General features: G+C 41.1%; 1 annotated feature.

Annotated features, from left to right (window-relative positions):
- Positions 3,732-4,931: an enhancer, noted in NCBI's record as "P300/CBP strongly-dependent group 1 enhancer chr6:161736020-161737219 (GRCh37/hg19 assembly coordinates)". NCBI's record gives its function as "activates an origin of replication core promoter dependent on BRD2, BRD4, P300/CBP, MED14 and CDK7 cofactors, with strong dependence on P300/CBP, by STARR-seq in HCT116 cells {active_cell/tissue: HCT116}" and the evidence as "EXISTENCE:reporter gene assay evidence [ECO:0000049][PMID:35650434]".

Below are 11,327 nucleotides of genomic sequence, written 5' to 3' on the forward strand. Positions count from 1 at the left end.
GTTACTCCAGGCTGTAGGATCCGGGAAAAGAGCTATCATGCAGCCCACTCCTGGTCAACTGGAGGACCACCCTACTAGAAAGGGGACAATCTGGGCCTCTGGCCTGCCATGCACACAAGCATAACAATTGCTTTCGTTTAAAGTGCGGACGGAATATCTGATCCATTCCAACCAGGCATTTGCAACTTGGTAACCTGTTTCAATTGCCAATACTTGTTTTAAGTCTTTAACTTCTACGACAGCCATCTTGGTCTTGTGGTTAGATGGAGGAGGAGCAATTATTCCGTTGTGAGAGGTTTTGGAAGAAGGCTTAGAAGAAGGTGCAGGCAGTGCGGGATCAAAGAAATACATTTTAAAGAATCCAATAGGGTCTGTCCCTCAAACCTCAACCCCCATACCATAAAACTGGCTTAAAGGAGGGAACCGGCTTAGAAAAGGGGAAGAAGTTTGAGGATTCGAGATAATAACCTGTATAGGATTGCACTGGTTTAGCTGACACTTAGTGGGGGGCTGTCCCTCTAGTAACATGAATGTACAGTTTTAGGAAATTACAAAAACAGGTTGGGGCGGTCCATCCTTGCTCTTTAGTGGTCCACAGAATGCTGGACCAACTATGGCATAAAAGCTGTACATTGGGAGGGCAAGACTCCTGGTTGACGCCGGGGTCTTTATCAAAATCTCCTCGGATTAAATGGTCCCAGTTCACTAATGCCTAATCTGAGAAGAGTCAGGAGGGACAGAGGTGCTTTTCTGAAGTAGAGAGCTGTCTCTGACTTGGCAAGTTCCCACAGGGTATAACAAGGCAAGCACCAAATGCAATAGTTTGAGGCGAAATTGACTTGGTTATGTTAATAACTAGATGGTCAGCAATAGAGTGAGGAAAGAAGAAAAAGTAATAGAATAGATGAAAGAGTTAAATTTTTCTTAGCTTTAGTTTGGTAGCGTTTTCCCCTGGGACTATGGCCCACGACTCTGGAGAAGGCGGTGCTTTTTTGACTCGGGTGTGATGAGTCCATCCCCTTTCCACTGTATGAACAGCAGTCTCGGTGATTAGTAACACAAGGTAAAGTCCTTCCCAGGCTGGCTCAAGTTTTCCTTCTCCCCACCCTTTGATGAGAATGTGATCCTCAGGCTGGTGCTGGTTTACCGGAAATTCTAGGGCTGGTACCTGTGCTAAAAGACTTTTAGTTTTGAGGGAAAGGAAAGTAGAAGATAAACCAAGTATATAATTTCTAAGAAATTGATCTTTTGTTTTACATGTGGGGACATCAGCAATGGACTTTATAGTCCTTGGCACCTTCTTGCTGAGAAATTTTCTTTAGCACCTATTTTTATTATTTTTTAGACCAAAGAAAGCCAAACACCGTTTTATATTTGCCAATGCTTCCTGTATGATATTTATACCAGATAAGCTAAATTTCACCTTTACATTAGTGTGTTTTTAATGTTAAAGTTAATTTTAATAAAATCTTGTAGCCATATTTATCCAATTTTTAATGTCTGACCATATGGTAAGATTTGTATAGATGCTTTTTAACCTTTTATAATTTTTGTTAAAAAGCAGGTTAGTGCTTTAAGAAAAACATGTTGTGCTTTTATTTTAATGTCCAGTTCTCAGAAAAACTGGGTGATATCCCTTTAACTTTACCCAATATGTTTACACACAGAATTTCCTTTTCAATTAACATTTCAAAACTTGCCTAAACCTTTAAAACAATTTTTTTTTAACCATTTAATGTAGGTAAAAATCCACACTCTTATGTCTCCTTATAATCCTTTTACCAAAGTACGTTTTACTTTCCTTACACACCTTACACATAAACTGTTTCTTCAATAGTTTTACATTCAGGAGGCCTAATTACTTTTAAATTATACAACATTTCTTGCATAAATTCCCTTTTATAACTTTTTTTTCCCATAACTTTCACAGACAATTCTTCAACATGCCTCAACTTTCTGATTTGTTGCAAACATCCCTTTCTCTAAACAACCAGTTCATTTATTTTAGGACAAGAATTTACCATATAATATTCCTTTTTACATAAATTCTCTCCCCCCTCCTTTGTTTTTTCTCAAAGATGATAACCATTCTTTTCCAAATTGAACTTCCTTCATTTCTGTGGACTAGACTGTCTAAGGCCACAAGATTAGACGTTAGGATAATACATGTTACACTCTTAACTTTTAGCAAACTTTACTTTTGTTGAAAACCTTGTAAGTTTGGGATTTCAATTATTCTTTGCTATTAATAAGACCTCGTTCAGTCCATATTAACTTAGAATTAGTATAGATGACTCCTTCCTGATTCTGTAAGCACTTTAAGGCTTGGCTGAGTGCAAACAGCTCGCAGGCACGTTTGAGCAGACCAATTGTTAGGCAATTTTCCTAACTTGGCTTCTCCAAGAGTTTCCTTATCACTTACTGAATACCCATTGTGTCTTTTTCCTTCAATCACCCAGGAGGAAGCATCTACAGTCCTGTCCTGAAGGTAGTTCCTCCTAGGTCTGGTTGGACCTTTGTATGGTAATTAAGATTTAGATGCCCTGTTAGGAAACCTGGTGGGTTAAGGGAATTTTCAGTGGTTCATGTTAAATCATCTTTTTCTAACAGAATAGCCTCATACTTTAAGGTTCTTGAGTCAGTAAGCTATCTTTTGTTTTCTTTTTGACTTAGGATAGTTCTGACCTGATGAGGTGTGCTCACAATGAAGTTTACTCTAAAAGTTATTTTTCTACTTTCTTCTGTTAGCGAAGCAGTTTCCACTACAGATTGAATGCATTTGGGCCATCCACGGGTTACTGGGTTAAGGATTTTTGATTAGGAAGGCTACGGGTTGTCAGTCACCTCAGGGCTTTTGGGTTACAACCTTGTTTACACTGGCAACAAGGTGGTATTGGAGTGTTATAGGGTCAGGGAGAAGACCTTCAATTATTAATTATAGGTTTTAAATTTACCCTGGCTTTTAAAGGAATAGGGTACACTGTTTTCTCTTTACTACTCTCCCTCTCTCTGTTTGTCTCTGTCTCTTTCTCTCTCTCTGCCTCTCTCTCTCTTTGACTCTGTCTCTTTCTCTGCCTCTGCCAGCCGCTTATGCTGCTCTTCTCCCCTCTCCTTCCCCTTCCCCTAGGGGAGGGACCGGTGGGAGTGCAGCTACTCTTTCTTTCCCTGAGAAGAAAGGAAAGGGGAGTTCTGAATATTTTTCTTACTACAGGAGGTTTGTGTGAGGTTCAACCCCCTGAAATTTGCGGAAGGCTCAACCCCTCAAACCAGGGGGTGTCTTGCCTTGCTGCTCTAGAAGGTTGACCTGTTTCCTCCCTTTCCCCCTCTGAAGGTCCCTTGCACACTTCCCACTCGTGTTGTCCTCTCTGGCTGCTCCCCCAAGGGAGAGTTAGGCCCCTCTTAGTGTTAGAGTGCCGGTATAAATCCCATGGCAGGATCCGCCCTAAGCTATATGAGGTAGCTACGGAACCCCGGAGAGGTCCCACTCACTCTGTCCAGCAGTAGGACTTGTCACCATCCACACGAAGAACACCACAAGTAGGGTTGTTTGTGATCATTCACACACACACACATTTAGCCCTCCAGAATTTGACCAACAAGGAAGTACTTTACCGGCTCCCGCGGCTTCTCCTTCCTTGGTCTGTGCACAGAGTCACCTCTGCAGTATGTGAGGATCCTTTAAGCTAGGTTGCTGGCCAGTTTCTTTCTGCGTTGCTGAGAGCTCGGGTTATTCCTGGAACTGGGTGGGTCCTGATTTCTCACCCCTGAGGCCCCCACAAGGCGGCGGGGCGCACGTCCTCACCAGAGAGAACCAGAGACTGCCCGGAAGGGGAATGTATCACGAGGGAGCCCCCAAATTGTTATAAATAAAGTTTCGGTGCTGCAAAAGAAATAGCACTCGAATATAAAATTTTCTTTTTAATTTTCAGCAAGTCAATGTACTTCTATAGAAGGGTGCGCCCTTACAGATGGGGCAATGGTGAGTGCACACTTGGACCAGGGAGGGGAAGGGGTTCTTATCCCTGACGCACATGGCCCCTGCTGCTGTATCCTTTCCCTATTGGCTAGGGTTAGACTGCACAGGCTAAACTAATTCTGATTGGCTAATTTAAAGAGCGTGAGGGGGTGAGTGGTTTGGTGGGAAAAATGGTTAAGGGCAGAGCAGGAAATTGCAATGAGTCAGGGTGGAGCAGGTAATAGGAATGAGTCAGGATGGAGCAGGTAATCCGAAGGAGTCAGGGTGAAGCAGGTAATCAGAATGAGTCAGGGTGAAGCAGGTAATCGGAATGAGTCAGGGTGGAGCAGGTAATCGGAATGAGTCAGGGTGGAGCAGGTAATCGGAATGAGTCAGGGTGAAGCAGGTAATCCGAATGAGTGTCAGGGTGGAGCAGGTAATCGGAATGAGTCAGGGTGAAGCAGGTAATCCGAATGAGTGTCAGGGTGGAGCAGGTAATCGGAATGAGTCAGGGTGCAGCAGGTAATCAGAATGAGTCAGGGTGAAGCAGGTAATTGAAAAAGGTTGCTTTACGAGGAAGTTAAGTTTAAAAGTAGAAGGCAAAGAATTGAATATACTGACATATTTATTCTTTGAAGATAAATTTAGAACTCATATCTAACACAGGCGTGAGTAACCGCACCCGGCCCGTATCTGCTATCTTTAAAGAGATACATATACACATTTTATGTATATATATATATATGCGTGTGTATATATATATATGACAATGGTCCCATAAAATAATAATGGAGCTGAAAAATTCCTATGGCCTATTGACATCATAGCTGTCCTAACATCACAATGCAGCACTGTAAACAAATCCACTGTGGGGCCAATCATATAAAAATCTAGCACATACAATTATGTACTGTGCATAATGCTGGGTAATGATAATAAATGACAATGTGGCTGGTTTAGGTATTACTAGCCTATACTTTTTAATCATTATTTTAGAGTGTATGCCTTCTCTTTATAGAAAAAAGTTAACTGTAAAACAGTCTCAGAGAGATCCTTCAGGAGGTGTCCAGAAGAAGGACAGTGATCATAGGAGATGCAGCTTCATGGGTGGCCTTGCCCCTGAAGACCTCCCAGTGGGACCAGATGTCAGAAGACAGTGATATTGGTGATCCTGACCCTGTGTGATCTTAGGTGTATGTGTGTGTGTTTGTATATTAGTTTTTAAGAAAAGGTTTTAAGAGTAAAAAAAAAAAATTAAAAATAGAAAAAAGCTGATTGATAGAATAAGGACCTAAAGCAAGAAAATTTGTTACAGCTGTACAATGTGTTTGTCTTATAAGCTTTGTTATTACAAATGAGTCCAAAGGTTTTTTAAAAATGAAAAAGTTTTTAAAGTAAAAAAGTTACAGTAAGATAAGATCAATTTATTACTGAAGAAAGAAATTTTTTAAATGAATTTAGTCTAGCCTAAGTGAACGGTGTTGAGCGGAAAGTCATATCCTCGGCCTTCACACTCACTCTCCACTCACTCACTGACTCACCCAGAGCAACTGCCAGTCCCACAGGCTCCAGTCAGAGTAAATGCCCTACACAGGTGTACCAATTTTTTTCTTTTATACTGTATACTGGATTTTGCTGTACCTTTTTTTTTTTTGAGATGGAGTTTTGCTCTTGTCACCCAGCTTGGAGTGCAGTGGTATGATCTTGGCTTACTGCAACCACCTCCTGGGTTCAAGCAATTCTCCTGCCTCGGCCTCCTTAGTAGCTGGGATTACAGGTGCCCGTCACCACACCCAGCTAGTTTTTGTATTTTTAGTAGAGACGGAGTTTTGCCGTGTTGGCCAGGCTGGTCTCGAACTCCTGACCTCAGGTGATCCACTCACCTTGGCCTCCCAATGTGTTGGGATTATGGGCATGAGCCACCGCTCCTAGCCCTTGCTGCACCTTTTCTATGTTTAGATGCACAAAAACCGTTGTGTTACAATTATCTACAGTATTCAGTAAAGTCCCATGCTGTACAGGTTGGTAGCCTGAGAGAAACAGGTGCCTCATGGGCTATACCATCTAGGTTTGTGTAAGTGTACTCTAACATGTTTACACAACAAAGTTGCCTAAGAATGCATTTTTTTTTTTTTAATTTGAGACGGAGTCTTGCTGTGTTGCCCAGGCTGGAGTGCAGTGGCGTGATCTTGGCTCACTGCAACCTCCCTCTTCTGGGTTCAAGCGATTCTCCTGCCTCAGCCTCCCCAGTAGCTGGGATTATAGGAGTGCACCACCATGTCTGGCTAATTTTTGTATTTTTAGTAGAGACGGAGTTTCCATGTTGGCCAGGCTGGTCTCGAACTTCTGACCTCAGGTGATCTGCCCTCCTCAGCCTCCCAAAGTGCTGGGATTACAGGTGTGAGCCACCGTAACAATGGATTTCTCAAAACACCTGGCCCTAACAATGGATTTCTCAAAACATATCCTCATTGTTAAGAGAGGCATGACTGTATGTACACAGTATATACACATTATATATATGTGTGTGTGTGCTTATGTGTATATATACATATGTGTATGTGTATATGTACATATAGTGGCAATGATCGTGCTGTCAGGTTCTACAAAATCCTCTTTGTACCCAAACACTGCTGATCCAACAAACGTGACCACAGTGGAATCTGTATGTGTACATATACACACACATATGTATATACTTTTTGCCAAACTGTTTGATGTCGTAGACATCATGATACTTCACCCCTAAATATATATCTCTCAAGAATAATGACATTCTCCTACTCAATTACAATATAATTATACTCTTTGGGAATTATACATTGCCACAATAGTAGGATCTAACACAATGTCTTCTAGAGCTCGTTTTTTTTCCAGAGATGATGTAATCTTTACCTTTGATTCTGCTCTTTTGCCCCTCTCTGCTTAACCTGCTCCACTCAGGATCTAGCAAGAGATGTCACACATAAGGCCCCAAATAACTTAGGGAGTTGAATGAATGAAAGAATGGATGCATAAATGTGAAAATCCTTTCTGATGTGTCTTCAGGACGTGGAAAGGTGCATGACCCCATGTGGGAATTCAGTGACCTTCAAGCCCTTCTCATTGGTCTAGACAGAAACCTTACACCTGGCAGGATATGCATTTTGCAGCTGAGGCTCTTTGTGAGCAGTTTGGTGATATTTAAGTTCCTGGTGATTAGGGAAACCGTCAGGAGCTTGGCAAACCTATTCAAAATACAACATATTAAAATTCCTGTTAATCATAGATCTTAAAAGCACTGGGCTACAACACTTGGTTAAAGTACCAAAAATGCAAACCAGTTATTATGAAAACAAAGCCGGGGAAGTAGGTGGCACTGCATTGTAGGAGTCTACATTCAGCAACAAAAGAGGGCACAGGCTCTACTGTGGTCACATTCATTGCATCAGCAGTGTTCGGTACAAAGAGGCTTTTGTGAAACCTGACGGCACGATCATTGCACAGGCACACCATTGAACGAAGGCAGACTTTCCCCTTCTATGAAAGGATAATTTTCTTCTCATATTTGACACCGATTAGCTCTAGCAGAGAATTCTATTTAAAGCAATCCCTTGAAATTAGACCATGTATGCCAAGGGCAGGGCTGTGTATTCAGCCCTGTCTTCCTAGCAACTTTAGCGATGTATCCTAAGTATGGGAGGAGGGCACTGAAAAAGTGAGGCATGAAAGAGATATATCTAATAATCATGACTACTTACTATCACAACTTAGAAGAAATAGCTGGATTTCAATCTCTTTTCCCAATCCGACGGTTTATTATTTTCCTTTTTTCTTCCAAAATTTCATACGCATCCCAAGTTTTAGCATAATGATATCAGCAGCAAGTTGTTAAATAAGTTCTGTGGGCTCATCAAAGCAATTATCTTAAAGTGTTCTATGAAACAGCATTGGTTCAGTGCTGATTGCGTTATAAACTTTGAAATGAAGAGCACTGCACTTTAGAAACTCCAGGTTATGAAGAATTTTCTGTTTTTCATTTTGGCCTCCTTCTCTACTAACCAATGTGTTTGAAAACCTGTAATGTGACTCTTCAGGTTAGAGGGTGAGTTTTTTAACCCTTCCCCAGCTCTCAACACTATCCCTCTCCATCTCCAGCCTTTGAGTTCTGTCTAGCACTCACCATAGGATATGTCCTGATGAAAGCCTCATTGTTCCACATCTGAGAAGATCAGTTGCTGTGCACAGCTGCATGGGAACTGGATCCAGTCCCCATCTGGATCTAGGAACAAATCGGTCCCTAGCAGCTTGACAACTGCTCATTGTCTAGTCAAGGGGGTTGCTTTCTTTTCCTGGAAAACGTCTTCCAGGGTACATTTGATATGAAGTTTTCACTGCTCATAAAGTTAGGGGGAAGGAGACTGGAAGCTCAGGGCAGAGGTACCACAGTTATCAAGTTCTATTTGTTTTGCAAACTCTAGGTTTTCTTTATTATGTGTTTCCTTTGTCCACATGAATCTTGTGGACATTTCTTGGTCTAAATTAATGGTATTTTCTCCTGAACAGTGGTTCTTCAAATATTACCCAAAATGAAGGAGGGAAGGATCATTTTTAAAAATCCCAAGTAGTTCTATTTTATTTGTACAAGTGAATAATTTCCTACAGGATAAAATAAAAGACATTGATAATAAGAATACTAGTAACTATTGTTTAAGAAGCATGGTTACTATTACAATAGTGGAATTTAAGGACATGTTTTGGTTATTTTATAAATTGCATTATTCTATCCTGTATCTTTTAAATTGAGTAATAGATTTCTTAAAAGAAGCTTATAAGATATTAGTTAGAACAATCAGCATATTTGATAAATAAAATGACAACCAGTAAAACTGCCACCTCCCTGGATGAAAAAAGCATTGTATTATTCCCACTGTGAAGGGAGGATAGTGACATCAGATAAGAGTTAGGAAAGTGAAATTGTTGGCAAAATCAGCCGGTGTCTTTATGAAACATTGTCTTCATGAAACATTGTCTTGGATGACATTTCACCTAGTCACCAATGTCTTCCAGTGACGCCACCTGTTTGCTTTCACACACCTGTGGGAAGACAGAATGTTTGATTCTGGCATATTTTTTACAGTTTGAATTAAAACCAACTGACTGAACTTGGTGGATTGAGTGAGAAAATAATCCTTGTAGGATAGTCTTCTCCACCTGGTGGTGATGCACTCACTTTGAGGCTAATGATGCAGGTGAAAAAAAAAATCTTTGCTTTGACAACTCCTGTCCCTAAAGAAAGTACTGTGCAGAGAAGCAGTTAAGATCCTAAACCCTGGACTCCAACAAAGTAAGGTTAGACTACTTTCTAGCTGGGCAAACTTTAGTAAGTTAACTTCTTCAAGAATCTATTTCTGCCGGGCACGGTGGCTCACGCCTGCAATCCCAGCACTTTGGGAGGCCGAGGCGGGCGGATCACTAGGTCAGGAGATGGAGACCATCCTGGCTAACACGGTGAAACCCTGTCTCTACTAAAACTACAAAAAATTAGCCTGGCATGGTGGCAGGCGCCTGTGGTCCCAGCTCCTCAGGAGGCTGAGGCAGGAGAATGGCGTGAACCCAGGAGGCAGAGCTTGCAGTGAGCCAAGATCATGCCACTGCACTCCAGCCTGGGCAACAGAGCAAGACTCCGTCTCAAAAAAAAAGAAAAAAAAGAATCTATGTCTTCGTATGCTAGATGAAGTCAACTCTTTCAGAGGGCTGAAAGAGAAAAGCGAAATTAGATCATATGTATGAAATTCTTACATGGTGCCTGGCACATAAGTGCTTAATAAACAATTGCAATTAGTATTATTAACTCTAATCAGATATTGTTGTTTTAAACAAGGGAGTCACTCAAAAAGGTACATGCAGACTTCTCTGTAAGAAAAAAATATATATATATATGTTTACACACACATACACATACACACACACACAAATATATAAGGCTAGGTCTTAATGCCTCTTTCCTCAAATCAAAGCAAAAATCTGTTTCCTTGTCCAGTTACTTCTATTTAGTTTGGGAATTAGGCCTTCCAGTCCATGCATTTAATTCTATTCCTGGCCTGCTTAAATTAGAATGAGCCTCAAAGATAGAAGACCAAGACATACAGGTGCTTGTATACCTATATACAACAAGGTATATAGGTATTTATTTTCATATTCAGAAAAAAATCTAGTTTTTACCCATACATTCATTCAAGACACATTTATTAAACACCAAATTGGTAGCAAGAATGAACATATTAGTAATAATTTTTCTCTCAGAAAAATATATCCTATTTTCTATATTTATTTTCTATAGATTCTCTTTTAATGTTTGTTTGCATCTTGCAAATTTCCATGTTACTTTCTGGCTTAACTACCTCAGGCTGGGCACGGGAGATGATTCTATGGAGAGTTAAAACTTTTTCTTTTTCTTTTTCTTTTTCTTTTTTTTGATATGGAGGCTTGCTCCGTTGCCCAGGCTGGAGTGCAGTGGCGCGATCTCAGCTCACCGCAACCTCCGCCTCCTGGGTTCAAGTGATTCTCCTGCTTCAGCCTCCTGAGTAGCTGGGATTACAGGTGCCCACCACCACACCCAGCTAAGTTTTGTAGTTTTAGTAGAGATGGGGTTTCACTATGTTAGCCAGGCTGGTCTTGAACTCCTGATCTCAGGTGATCCACCCGCCTCGGCCTCCCAAAGTGCTGGGATTACAGGCATGAGCCACTGCGCCTGGCAAAAACTTTCTTAAATATATGTATAATATATAAAAACCAAGGATAAAAGTGATGCTTAAAAATAAACTCATTTGAGTTATAGGAGTAGAAACGGAGTGCCCCAAATGCCCCTGGTAAAATGGATGCACCCAGGCACAGTGGCTCACGTCTGTAATCTCAGCACATTGGGAGGCCAAGGCGGGTGAATCACTTGAGCCCAGAGGTTTGAGACCAGCCTGGGCAACATGGTGAAAACCCCATCTCTACAAAACATTTTAACAAAATTAGCCAGGTGTGTTGATGCACATTTGTCCCAGCTACTCAGGAGGCTGTGGTGGGAGGATCACTTGAGCCCAGGAGGTCAAGGGTGCAGTAAGCCATGATGGTGCCACTGCACTCCAGCCTGAGTGACAGAGTGAGACCCTGTCTCAGAAAAATGAAAATAGAAGTAAATAAATAAAACAAAATTTAAAAGTCTACCTCATATTTGAAAACAAAGTCTGTATCACTGTACTAATTTTATGTGAAGTCAAAATTACAGAATACCCAATGCTTGTGAACATTTTAAAAAGGTTTCTAGAGGGACAAAAATGCTAGCACTCATTCTATTTGTGAGCAATCATCTTTTTTGAAGTGGAAAATCTAGAATGTTTCT

The sequence above is a fragment of the Homo sapiens genome, chromosome 6 (assembly GCF_000001405.40).
Source record: "Homo sapiens chromosome 6, GRCh38.p14 Primary Assembly".
NCBI classification, from domain to species: domain Eukaryota; kingdom Metazoa; phylum Chordata; class Mammalia; order Primates; family Hominidae; genus Homo; species Homo sapiens.